This window comes from Homo sapiens, chromosome 14 (genome assembly GCF_000001405.40).
Source record: "Homo sapiens chromosome 14, GRCh38.p14 Primary Assembly".
In the NCBI taxonomy this organism is placed as follows: domain Eukaryota; kingdom Metazoa; phylum Chordata; class Mammalia; order Primates; family Hominidae; genus Homo; species Homo sapiens.
The window spans coordinates 53,356,451-53,370,251 of NC_000014.9; the positions used below are offsets into that span (position 1 = coordinate 53,356,451).

Genomic DNA, 13,801 nt, shown 5'->3' on the forward strand with positions numbered 1-13,801 from the left:
CATCTTGTAAAAGAGGGCACTGGAAAGGGTTTGGGAACCAGGGTAAAGCCACGGGGAAGCACTGTTGTGCCGAGGGGGGCAAAGGGAAGGAGGTCATGCTGAGCTCTTTGCTGCTCAACAATGCCCACAACTGCCCCGTGCCCAGCACAGCTGAACTGTCCTCCAGCCAAATGGCCTGCTCTGTAGACAAACTCTTAGATGCAAGTTGGTAATATAGCTTATTCTGGTAACAGTTACAAGCAGTGGCTTTACAGAATTCAAATCCTAGTGACACTATTTATTAGCTGTATTAGTGTTCTCCAGAGGCACAAAGCTGGTAGGATCTATATCTTATATCTCTTTTTATCTCTGTATAATCTATCTATATCTATCTAATCACACACACACAGTCATGTGCTACATGATGACATTTTGATGAACAATGGGTGGCATATATTACAGTGGTCCCATAAGATTATGTTGGAGCTGAAAAATTCCCATCACACAGTGACCTTATAGCTGTCATAACTGCATAGCACAACACATTACTCACGTGTTTGTGGTGATGCTGGTGGAAACAAACCTGTGTCTAAAAGTTGTATAAACATATAGCTCATACAATTATGTATAGCACATAATACTTGATAATAAACAACTATGTTACTGGTTTATATATACACTATAGTATAATTTTTATGGTTATTTTAGAGTATACTACTTAAAAAAAGAGTTAACTATAAAACAGCCTCAAACAGGTCCTCAGGAGTTTTCTAGAAGAAGGCACTGTTACATAAGATGACAGGCTCCATGTGTTTTATTGCCCTTGAAGACCTTCCAGTGGGATGAGATGTGGAGGTGAAAGACAGTGATTTGGATAATTCTAATCCTGTGTAGGCCTAATGTGTGTGCCTGTCTTAGTTTTTAACAAAAAAGTTTAAATAGTTGAAAAAATTAAAAATGAATAAAAAGCTTATAGAACAAGGATATAAAGAAAATATTTTTGTATGGCTGTACAGTGTGTTTGTGTTTTAAGCTAAGTGTTATTACAGAAGTAAAAAAGTTTAAAAATGTTTATAAAGTAAAAAAGTTATAGTAAGCTAAGGTTTACTTATAGGAGAAAAAAAATTAAATGTGTTTAGTGTAGCCTAACTATACAGTGTTTATAAAGTCTACAGTTGCATACGGTAATGGTCTAGGTTTTTATATTCAGTCACCACTCACTCACTCACCCAGAACAATTTCTAGTCCTGCAAGCACCATCCATGTTAAGTGCCCTATGCAGGTGTACCATTTTAATCTTTTATACAGTATTTTTACTCTACCTTTTCTATGTTTTAGATACACAAATACTTACCTTTGTGTTACAACTGCCTACAGTATTCAGTGCTGTAACAGATTTGTAGCCTAGGAGTAATAGGATATATCGTATAGTAGGCTATATCGTATAGTAGGCTATACCATCTAGGCTGATGTCAGTATACTCTATGATATTCACATAACAAATAAATAAAGGTGCATGTCTTAGAGCATATCCCTGAGGTTAATACATGACCGTGTGTGTATGTGTGTGTGTATATACGCATATACGCATACATATATATCTCCTTTTGGTTATATATATATATATATATATCTCTTTATATAGTCCATAAATAGATATATAATATACACTACATATATAATAACATAGAATACATGTACAATATCTATACTATGTATAGATATAAATATATAGTAGAGAAAGAGAATGAGCATGTGCACTGTTGAATTTGAAATCTGTAGGGTAAGCCAGTAGGTTAGAGATTCAGGTAAGAGTGGATATTTCAGTGTTAAGTCTGAAGGCCAGAAACTCAGGCAGAATCTCTGCATCAGTCTGGAGGCAGAACTGCTTTTTCAGGAAACCTGAGTCTTTGCTGTTTAGGCCTTCAACTGATTAAATGAGGCCCACCCACATTATGGATGGTAATCTGTTTTACTTAAAGTCAACTAATTTTAAGTGTTAATCACATAAAAAAATACCTTTACAGAGATATCTAGACTAGTGTTTGTCCACACAACTGGTCACCATGGCCAAGCCAAGTTCACACATAAAATCATCACTCTAGCTTTTAACTTACTGGCAAGTCACTCAACTTCTTTACACTGAATTTTTCTTTTGTAAAAAGGAGAAAGAATAACACTTTGCTCAGTGCCTGGATATACTAAGTGGTCAGTACATGTTGCCTGTATTATGATTATTGTGAGTTCTTAAGTAAACTGTATTATGTATTGGAAATCAAATAGAGTAATCAGCTCTATCTATTGTATTTATTGATTTGCCATCAGAACAAATGTTTGTTAGACATTAATATTAAAAAATATTCATTAGCACAATGGTATGAATATAAATAATATTAATATAATATAAAAATAGCCGATCATCTATGTTTTATGTCTATCATCCCAACAGATCAACTGTGTTTATTTTTCTGTTCTCTAGTCCTTCCCCATACATACATATATAAACATATTATTTACAGAGCTGTATTCAAGATGGGTTAATGTTTACATTTTGCTATTTTCCAATGAACACAATAGGTGTTAAGATATTAAACTAGCCAAATTAATTGTATTCTGGTTGAAAATTACAGTTCATCTCTCATTTTTACCAAGGAGCTGAGCTGCTGGGATGATGGTTTTCATGGTGTGCCAGCTTGGTAGACAAGCTGTCTAGGTGTTTTGCATCTCATTGCTTTCCTCAAAAAGGGTAGTTAAAGGACTAAAGCTACTGAATGGATTTTAGGTGTAATCTGTTATTGGAGAGAAAAGGTTAATCCAGTTCTGCATTATTATGTTTTTTATTTATGTTATTCTTTCATTGATTTAAAATGTGTTGAGCTCTTTCAATGTACTGTGCATTGGCCACTGAACATCTGTGCAACCAGCAAATGCCCTGGAGACCTGCTCTCCAGATTTGCAGACTAGAAGGTAAGACTGACAGTAGGGAGACACATAAGGTCCACAACAGAGTGGTTCGTTTGAGGGTTGGGGGAGGAAAAGAGAGGAGGCATTCTGGATCTTCTAAATTGAGCTCTGAAGGATGAGTTAGGAGTTAGCCAGATGAAGAACAGAGAGGAGGGTCAACATCTTTATCTTTTGGTAGAAGGAAAATAACCTGCTTTTGCATAAAACAGAATCCAGATGGTTTTCTATTTGTTTAGGCAAACCTGTGAACCTCAGTGTATTAGTCTGTTTTCATGCTGCTGATAAAGACATACCCGAGACTGGGCAATTTACAAAAGAAAGAGGTATAATGGACTCACAATTCCACATGGGTGGGGAGGCCTCACAATCATGGCGGAAGGCAAAAGGCACATCTCATGTGGCGGCAGACAAGAGAAGAGAAAGAGAACCAAGGGAAAGGGGTTTCCCCTAATAAAATCATCAGATCTCATGAGAATTATTCATTACCATGAGAACAGGATGGGAGAACTGCCCCCATGATTCAATTATCTCCCATTGGATCCCTCCCACAACACATGGGAATTATGGGAGCTACAGTTCAAGATGAGATTTGGGTGGGGACACAGCCAAACCATATCACTCAGGTAAGGCTGTGGGAACATCATGTGCAAAGACCCACTGTCTGCACACCATGGTTTGCAGAACTGAGAATATTCTGGCTATAGGAAGAGTGTGAAGGTGAAAGCCATCTATAATAAGGAGTTTGGACTTCCCTCTGTGGTCAGTGGAAGGTTATTTTTGTTGTTGTTGTTCTTTTGAGACAGGGTTTGGCTCTGTTGCCCAGGCTGGAGTGCAGTAGCACTATCTTAGCTCACTCTAGCCTCTGCCTCCCAAGCTAAGCCATCCTCTCACCTATGCCTCCCGAGTATCTGGGACTACGGGTGTGTGCCACCACACCTGGCTAATTTTTATATTTTTTTGGTGGAGTTGGGGTTTCGCCATGTTGCCCAGGCTCGTTTCAAATTTCTGGGCTCAAGCAATCCACCCGTCTTGGCCTCTGAAAGCATTAGGATTACTAGCATGAGCCACTAAGCCTGGCCTACTGAAATGTTTTCAGGAGGGCAGTGACATGACAGGATCTATACTTTAGGAAAATCACTTAGGCTACAGCATAGAGCATCAGTAGTGAGGGCAGTGATGGCTGCGTGGAGACCAGTTATGTCACCATTGAGGTAATCCAGGCAGAAGATGCATGACCAGGAATGTGGTAATGGCAGTGCAGGTGGAAAGAAATAGATGGAATCAAAAGATAGTTAGAAGATAGGAGGGCTGGAACGTGGTTATCAATCAGGTGTGTGGAAGAGACAGCAGTTAAAGATGAAGCCCAGGGTCTTTCTAGTCTATATCTCTATGTTCTTGAAAATGGTGTGTGTGTGTGTGTGTGTGTGTGTGTGTTTAAATCTCAAATTATTTTGACTTCAGGGCAGTTGCTGTCATGTCATCTAGTCAGACATTCTATCATGACATAGAAATCCTCATGGCATGGTGGAAAAAGCCCTTGCCTGGAAGCCTGGGGGCCAGTACAGCTTTACCACAAACCCCAAATATGATCCTGGGTCAATCATTTCAGCCCCTTGTGGGGAGAGTGAACAGCTGTAGTGTAAGATAGCATAATTATAAGCTGGGGTGGGGCTTTGAGTTATGGTGCCTATGCAAAATGAACATGACACTTGGTGTAAACTGGTGAGGCTGCTCTTGGACTAAAGAGACTAGCCTGGGGTTCTGCCTGCCCTAGGTCCTGCCTGATTATTCCAGGGACTGAAAGGAGGATCTATATTTTGCCACACCTGTAACAAATTTAGAGCATACCAGTATGCCGAAGAATACCTTTAAGGAAGCTCTGGCATGGTGATTAAATTCTTGAGTCATGAAGTTCAGACTAGAGCCTTCGTTCTACCATTTACTAGCTGTTTGACTTCAAGAAAATTACTTAATCATTACTCTTCAATTTTGTCATCTGTGAAATAGGAATAATAGTACCTATTCATCAGGATTGTTGTAAAGATTAAGTAATAGATGTAAACATTCTAGCTCCTGGATACAGAGCTCAATACGTATTTGCCATTATTGTTTTTATATAATATTTTCTACAATGTGTACAATTCAATAATTTTTATTTTTATTTGCATAAATTTATGGGGCACAAGTGCAATTTTGTTATATGCATAGATCGGGTAGTGGTCATGTCAGGGCTTTAAGATATCCATATCCTATGCTCCTTGTGTCAAAGGAATCACTGGAAGGCCCACTGGCCCAGGGGACGAAGGTCCTCTGAGTCAGAAGCCACTAACCAGATGATCCAGCAGCAGGACTGAGGGTGCCCGGGGCAAGTGCCAGCCCATGCCATCACCCTCACAGAGCCCCAGATGTGCTTGAACATTGAGGGCCAGGAGGTTAACTGTCTCTTGGACACTGGCGCGGCCTTCTCAGTCTTACTCTCCTATCCCAGATAACTGTCCTCCAGATCTGTCACTATCCTAGGGGTCATATGACAGCCAGTCTCTAGATACTTCTCCCAGCCACTAAGCTGTGACTGAGGAGCTTTAAAATAGAAGAAAACCACCAAGCGGATATTAAAGTCAAAAGAGCCACAAGGCAGGACCCTCCATTAAAAATGCTTATAGAAGGACCCCTAGTATAGGGTAATCCCCTCTGGGAAACCAAGCCCCAGTACTCAGCAGGAAAAATAAAATAAGGAACCTCACAAGGACATACTTTCCTCCCCTCCAGATGGCTAGCCACCGAAGAAGGAAAAATACTTTTGCCTGCAGCTAACCAATAGAAATTACTTAAAACCCTTCACCAAACCTTCCACTTAGGCATTGATAGCACCCATCAGATGGCCAAATTATTATTTACTGGACCAGGCCTTTTCAAAACTATCAAGCAGATAGTCAGGGCCTGTAAAGTGTGCCAAAGAAATAATCCTCTGCACTGCAGGCCATACATTTAAATCCCTGTATCTTTAACCTCCTTGTTAAGTTTGTATCTTCCAGAATTGAAGCTGTAAAACTACAAATCGTTCTTCAAATGGAGCCCCAGATGCAGTCCATAACTTAAGATCTACAGCAGACCCCTAGACCGGCCTGCTAGCCCATGCTCCGATGTTAATGACATCGAAGGCACCCCTCCCGAGGAAATCTCAACCGCACAACCCCTACTACGCCCCAGTTCAGCAGGAAGCAGTTAGAGCAGTCGTCGATCAACCTCCCCAACAGCACTTGGGTTTTCCTATTGAGAGGGGGGACTGAGAGACAGGACTAGCTGGATTCCCTAGGCCGACTAAGAATCCCTAAGCCTAGCTGGGAAGGTGACTGCATCCACCTTTAAACACGGGGCTTGCAACTTAGCTCACACCCAACCAATCAGAGCTCACTAAAATGCTAATTAGGCAAAAACAGGAGGTAAAGAAATAGCCAATCATTTATTGCCTGAGAGCACAGCAGGAGGGGCAAGGATCGGGATATAAACCCAGGCATTCGAGCCGGCAACGGCAACCCCCTTTGGGTCCCCTCCCTTTGTATGGGAGCTCTGTTTTCACTCTATTTCACTCTATTAAATCTTGCAACTTCAAAAAAAGAAAAAGATATGCATATCCTGAATAATGAACATTACTCATTCAGTAATTTCTCATCATCCACACCCTGGCCCTTTCACCCTTCCAAGTCTCTGTCATCTATCATACCACTCTCTGTGTTCATGTGTCCACATTTTTTAGCTCCTACTTATGAATGAGAACATGTAGTATCTGTCTTTCTGTGTCTGACTATATTAGTCTGTTTTCACACTGCTGATAAACACATACCTGAGACTGGTAAGAAAAAGAGGTTTAATTGGACTTACAGTTCCACATGGCTGGGGAGGCCCCAGAATCACAGTGGGAAGTGAAAGGCACTTCTTACATGGTGGTGGCAAGAGAAAATGAGGAAGAAGCAAAAGCAGAAACCTCTGATAAACCCATCAGATCTCATGAGACTTATTCACTATCATGAGAATAGCATAGGAAAGACTGGCCCCCATGATTCAATTACTTCCCCTGGGTCCCTCCTACAACATGTGGGAATTCTGAGAGATACAATTCAAGTTGAGATACAAGTTGAGATTTGGGTGTGGACACAGCCAAACCATATCATTCTGCCCCTGGCCCCTCCAATTCTCACATTTCAAAACCAATCATGCCTTTTCAACAGTCCCCCAAAATCTTAACTCATTTCAGCATTAACCCAAAAGTCCACAGTCCAAAGTCTCATCTGAGACAAGGCAAGTCCCGTTTGCCTATGAGCCTATAAAATCCAAAACAAGCTAGTTACTTCCTAGATACAATGGGGGTACAGGTATTGGGTAAATACAGCCATTCTAAATGGGAGAAATTGGCCAAAACAAAAGGGTTACAGGGCCCATACAAGTCTGAAATCCAGCAGGGAAGTCAAATTTCAAAGCTCCAAAAATGATCTCCTTTGACTCCAGGTCTCGCATCCAGGTCACGCTGATGCAAGAGATGGGTTCCCATGGTCTTGGGCAGCTCTGCCCCTGTGGCTTTGCAGGGTACAGCCTCCCTCCCAGCTGCTTTCACAGGCTGGCATTGAGTGTCTGTGGCTTTTCCAGGAGCATGGTGCAAGCTGTTGGTGGATCTTCCATTCTGGGGTCTGGAGGATGGTGGCCCTCTTCTCACAACTCCACTAGGCAGTGCCCCAATAGGGACTGTGTGTGGGGATGCAGAACCCACATTTCCCTTCTACACTTCCCTAGCAGAGGTTCTCTATGAAGTCCCTGCCCCTGCAGCAAACTTTTGCATGGGCATCCAGGCATTTCCATATGTCTTCTGAAATATAGGCAGAGGTTCCCAAACCTCAATTCTTGACTTCTGTGCACCTGCAGGCTCAACACCACGTGGAAGCTGCCAAGGACTGGGGCTTCCACCCTCTGAAGCCACAGCCCAAGCTGTATGTTGGCCCCTTTCAGCCATGACTAGAGTGGCAGGGATGCAGGGCACTGAGTCCCTAGGCTACACACAGCATGGGGACCCTGAGCCTGCCCACAAAACCACTTTTTCCTCTTGGGCCTCCAGGCCTATGATGGGAGGGGCTGCCATGAGGGTCTCTGACATGCCCTGGAGACATTTTCCCCATGGTGTTGGGGATTAACATTAGGCTCCTTGCTACTTATGCAAATTTCTGCAGCCAGCTTGAATTTATCCTCAGAAAATGGGTTTTTCTTTTCTATTGTATAGTCAGGTGGCGAATTTTCCAAAGTTTTACGCCCTGCTTCCCTTATAAAGCCTCATGCCTTTAACAGCACCCAAGTTACCTCTTGAATGCTTTGCTGCTTTGAAATTTCTTCTGCTGGATACCATAAATCATATCTCTCAATTTCAAAGTTCCACAAATCCCTAGGGCAGGGGCAAAATGCTGCCAGTCTCTTTGCTAAAACAATGGAAGGGTCACCTTTGCTCCAGTTTCCAACAAGTTCCTCATCTCCATCTGAGACCACCTTAGCCTGGACCTTATTGTTCATATCACTATCATCATTTTGGGCAAAGCCATTCAACAAATCTCTAGAAAGTTCCAAACTTTCCCACATTTTTCTGTCTTCTGAGCCCTCCAAACTGTTCCAACCTCTGCCTGTTACCCAGTTCCAAAGTCTCTTCCACATTTTCAGGTATCGTTTCAGCAATGCCCCACTCTACTGGTACCGATTTCCTTTATTAGTCCATTTTCATGCTGCTGATAAAGATATACCCAAGACTGGGAAGAAAAAGGTTTAATTGGACTTACAGTTCCACGTGGCTGGGGAGGCCTCAGAATCCCAGCGGGAGGTGAAAGGCACTTCTTATGTGGCAGCAGCAAGAGAAAATGAGGAAAAAGCAAAAACAGAAACCCCTGATAAACCCATCAGTTTTCATGAGACTTATTCACTATCACGAGAATAGCATGGGAAAGACTAGCTCCCATGATTATTACCTCCCCCTGGTTCTCTCCCATAACGTGGGAATTCTGGGAGATACAATTCAAGTTGAGATTTGGGTGGGGACACAGCCAAACCATATCACTGACTTATTTCACTTAAGACAATATTTCCAGTTTCATCTTTGATGCTGCAAAAGATGTGATTCTGTTCTTTTTTTATGGCTGAATATACACTACATTTTCTTTATCCAACCATCTGGTGATGGATACTTAAGTTGATTCCTTATCTTTGCTACAGTTCAGTGATTTTTAAAGTAAACTTACAGAGTTGGGAAATCATCATCATAATCCACTTGGAACATTTTTATCTCTGCAACAAGATGTGTCCATTTGTAGTCACAACTTGTTCCCACCACAACCCCCAGGCTGCCAGGAATCTACTTTCTGTTTCTATACATTTTTTCTGGGCATTTTATAAAAATGGAATCATGAAGTCTTTTGTGTCTGGCTTCTTTCACAGTATAATCTTTTTGAGAGTCATCTGTAGTACTTGTGTTTCCTCTTATTGTTGAATAGCAGCCCATTGTATGGGCATACTGTACTTTGTCTATGCATTCACCAGTTGGTGGACACTTGAATTGTTTCCACATTTTGGCAACTATGAATAATGCTGCTATGGACATTCGTGTACAAGTGCTCGTGTAGACATATTAATATGTAATCTTGTTCTAAAAGTCTAAAATTCTAAGAATTTATCGAACTTGTGAAGAGAATGACTATTGAAACTAGCCTTGGTTCTTATCCTTTGGATGTGACTACATTTTTGTCAGAATGTCATGAAGAAGCATAATTATTTATATCCAAGATAGAATTTAACTTTCAATTAAAAAATGTTAAAGTTGATTTTTAATAAAATACTTGGACAAAAGTAGATCAGGGATTAGGTTGATTGCTTTTAAATTTTAGTGTAAAATTTCAAGAAAGGTTAGACTAGATTCCAGTGGCTGCAATGCTGCACAGCTATAGGCCGCATCCTCTCATTGGAGTTGTGTGTGCAGGTGTGCCCTTCATGTGGGATGCAGTGGGAATGGTGCCGTCCAGAGCTGTGTGTGAACAGGTGTCCATACTGCTAGTCTTTGAGTCTGGGTAATCTCCACTCTGTCCCTGGAGGGTGGGCCTGTTCTGCTTCTAGAGGTCAATGCCAAGTCAGAAAGGGAGTCAAGGCCCAGAATGCCACTCTGCAGACTACTATAGTTCCAGACTCTAGGGAGTCCTGGGCAGGGGGCTTATCTTAAACCAAAGGAATTTCAGACTAGAATTGTAGATGGTGCCCTTGAAGAGCTGATGGGACAGATTGAAAGTCCTGACTCCCAGCTAAAGCAGTATCCTACACACCCTCCCATCTGGAGAGATCTTGGGCTAGATGCCCCCAGTCTAACTGAGACGCTGACTTTGGAGGGTTGTTCCAGCCTTGCAATAGTAGTACCTTTTTGTTTAGGTGGGAGTGGATTAGAACAGTGGGTAAAGTTTTGGGGTGAAAGAAGCCAACTGGGACATATGTCTTAGGGGGACACAGGCTTTGTCCATCCTTTCTCTAAAAGTACTGGGCTGAACCCTCTCAGCAGAGAGTTGTGGAAAATTAGAGACGTTCTGTGGAAAGACCAAGTTAATGTTCAAGTCTCAGAATCTGATCTTAGGTCAAATATCTCTTGCTTTTGCCAGTAAAAAGAGCCCAGATGTTTTTCTATTTACTTAGGCAAACCCTTGAAACACAAGTTAGTCATATAAAACTTTACATTTGCAATGTTAAGAGCCCATATTTGGAAAGTCACAAGCATAAAATATATACTGTGAAATGGGAGGTCAGGACGGTGAACTCATTTCAGAACCATAGTTTTGACTCAAGAATTTTGATGGGGTCTTCACGTTGGTTGAGCTTCTTGGTCCTAATATCATTGAGAGAATTAAATCATGATATTAAAACATTGAAACACTAATGCTTTGTTTTTATTGGCAAGAACCAAAATGATCTAATACTAATGCCACGAAACATCAGTCACTTTTTTCCTGATGAATAAGATGAACTTTGGCTGCTTATGATAGTAAATTTAATAATGTCAGTGATTTGAACTGTTTCAGTTCTAAATGTGCAGAAATGTGTTTTACTGCATCTCTCTCTCTCTCTCTCTCTCTCACACACACACACACACACACACACACACACTACTTCTGTCAGGAAGTTTTGTGGCAAATGAGCCCAAATGCATAGATTAGAGCATATCATTCACATGTGCCATGTGTGTGCCAAAGTGTGCGTACCCACTGCTAGACTTCCTCTCACAGGTGGTCTGAATTTGCTTCTAGCTGGTCCTGTAAGCAGATTTAATATTTCATAAGCACTGCTCCATCTCATGCCTCCATTATTGACACCACATGGAAGTCAGGAAATTGGTTCTTTCTGGGAACAGTTTGCAGAAATATGCAGCCTGTCAGCCCCTTTCTCATGGGTGCATTAACAGAGCAGCTCACGATTACAAGTAACGAACCTTCTCCAGATGTGTGTAGCAACTCAGCTCCAACTTTATCTTCGGCCCTGAAGATGGACTTGGCAAGATGGATTATTTGTGGCTGTATTGTAATAACTTTGTGAAATTGGAATTCCCAGTGATTGTAATGGAGGGTGAGGAAGCGGCAGCAGAGGAACAGATAATTTCTCCTTGCAGTAAACAACGAAAAGACCAACAACAATAAAAAGGGCAAATCAGCTGTGGCATTTTCCTGCTTTGGACACCGACTCTTCCAGACTGTTCTAATTCTTTCCCTTTTATGATTCTGTTTATGTTACACACATTAAAGTTAAGTCATGTCTTAAATAAGATGGAAACTGGAAGTGAGATTTGGAAATGACTGAATCAGGCTTCTTAACTTTTTTCTTCTCTTGGAGAGCTCAAAAACAACGGACAGAAAGGGATATACCAAAGAAAACAATATTAATTGTCGGCTTCCATGGAAAATTCAATCCAGTCTTTCATTCATTCTCTTCCCAGTGCAGTGCCAGCAGACTTCTCTCTATATGGCTAAGGGCTTAATTTAGCTGACAAATTTCTGAAGGATAACTAAGCTTTCAGAAAGAAAGATTCTAGCTATAAATGAAGCATGTGTGCTCTCTCAGTCACAAAAGACAGATTTTTCCAGGATAAAGTAATTTGGGGTAAATTTCTCCTGTATTTTATTAGCAGTGATGATTTCAAGGGAGTATTCTTTTAAAGCAAGGCAGTATTTAAATCTTTCTTTTAAATCACAAGTCCCTTGAGTTGATAGTTATAAAACTGGGTTCCACTGGGAGTTATTTGTACATCTTCAAGGTTGGCACCCTTAGTTGTTTGATGTAGATGTTCTAGATAAAATTCCTAAAGTCCAGCTGTTATGATTTAGCTTAATATGTTTGTACAGAGGGGTTTCCTTTGTCATTGAAGAGATAGAGTCAAAACAGAATTAGTCATTCTTGCATCTTCTATTTATAGCCCACTATTATTCTGATGCATTGTCAAAGAATGAAGTGGACAAGAATTTTTCTTCCTTTCTTTCTTTTTTTTGTGTAAACAAAACTCTTTTTATACTCTGTGGATTTAACTTTGGTTGCTAACTTAGTCAGACAAGGCACTTAACAAAAATATTACTTCTTAAATGAAAAATTACCTATTAAGTCATCCCATCTTCATTTGCAAATTAAAGGTTTGTCAGTACAAAGTATGTGGGATGACCAGAAGTCATGGATGACTTACACTGAAGTGGCAAGGGTAGAAAAGGTCAGTTTGAAAATTTATTTGTATGGGTTGCTCATGACTAATAGTCCAAATCTGGAGAGTTTATAAACAAAATTCTATTCTGTTTATTTAGTTTATGCCAGCATTAAAGCTAGCCTGAAAATTTAGTGAAAGTCATTTAAGGAATTTTTATTTGGAGGAAACTTTAATTTTTATTTTTGAGGTCACTGAATAAATGTAGAGGTCTCTGTGGCCTGTACTGCAACAAGTAGAACAGTTAGATAAACTGGTTGTTGAAACTCCCTGGGCCACTGAGTTTTCTTATTTCTTTTTTTTTTTTTTTTAGTAGAGAGCTGACTTTAGAGGGATCAAGAATAGCTTGCTGGATGGAAGGAGGTAAGAAACAGGACTATCAATGTTTTACTTATCTGAGCTGTATAATAATTTGGTGTAGATAATTAAATGAGATGAAGTATGGGAAATGTGTTGTAAACATTCTCAAATCCTCTGCTATTATTGCTTACTGCAGCATCTGAAACAGCAGGGTCTGTCATGCAATAGCCCTCAAATCAATGTTTGTTGAGTTATAGTAAGTCGAATTAAAGAGTAGTTGGACAATTGCAAGTAATAGGTGGAAGTAGAAGGCTGAGAAAGTTGACACTTAGCGTTCTCTGTTGAAAACTATGCTATTAGCAGTGTTGGGTCAGCAAATGGCTTATTTTGGTTGGCAACCCCATGGAAAAGGATTTGCTGGATACAATAATAGTATATTCCCACAAAAATTCTGAAGTTTTATATTTTTGAGAATGTTGACAAGCCGGCAAATTAATGAATGGCTGCCAGTTGTTGAATTTGAATGTCACTCCTGGTGATTGTAAGTGTGAGTATGCCTTTGTTTTCCCTGTGTGCTAAACTCACGCTAGGGGTCCCATTGTTTTGAGGAGCTATTTAAGTAGCCTTCAGGAGAATCTGAAAATCATCCAAATCCAGTGTATAAGCATGAGAAGTCTGAGCTGAAGACTAAAAGTACTCTCCCTACAACCTGTCAGACATCTGGCCCAATGCTAGCTATAGGCAGTGGGGCTTCTTGATGGTCATTGGTGAGGATTCAATCTTTGGTACCCAAAGAGTGGGTGAAAGTTTCAG

At 40.7% G+C, this 13,801-nt stretch overlaps 1 long non-coding RNA gene across 6 annotated transcripts in view, besides 1 other annotated feature; it reads left to right on the plus strand.

The window, feature by feature from the left end:
* The window catches only part of LOC105370504 (uncharacterized), a 402,142-nt gene that overhangs the window by 35,799 nt on the left and 352,542 nt on the right, over positions 1 to 13,801 (plus strand). For 4 of the 6 annotated variants that reach the window (XR_943876.3, XR_001750975.3, XR_007064173.1 and 1 more), the window contains exon 2: positions 13,002 to 13,051. This is a non-coding gene — a long non-coding RNA (uncharacterized LOC105370504). Of the gene's footprint in view, positions 1 to 8,852; positions 12,698 to 13,001; positions 13,052 to 13,801 lie in introns of those variants that run through there. The other 2 variants (XR_001750974.1, XR_007064174.1) reach the window with 1 other exon arrangement.
* Positions 10,289 to 13,042: an enhancer, noted in NCBI's record as "VISTA enhancer hs1151". NCBI's record gives its function as "enhancer in: limb[8/8] | heart[3/8]" and the evidence as "EXISTENCE:transgenic organism evidence [ECO:0001131][PMID:17130149]".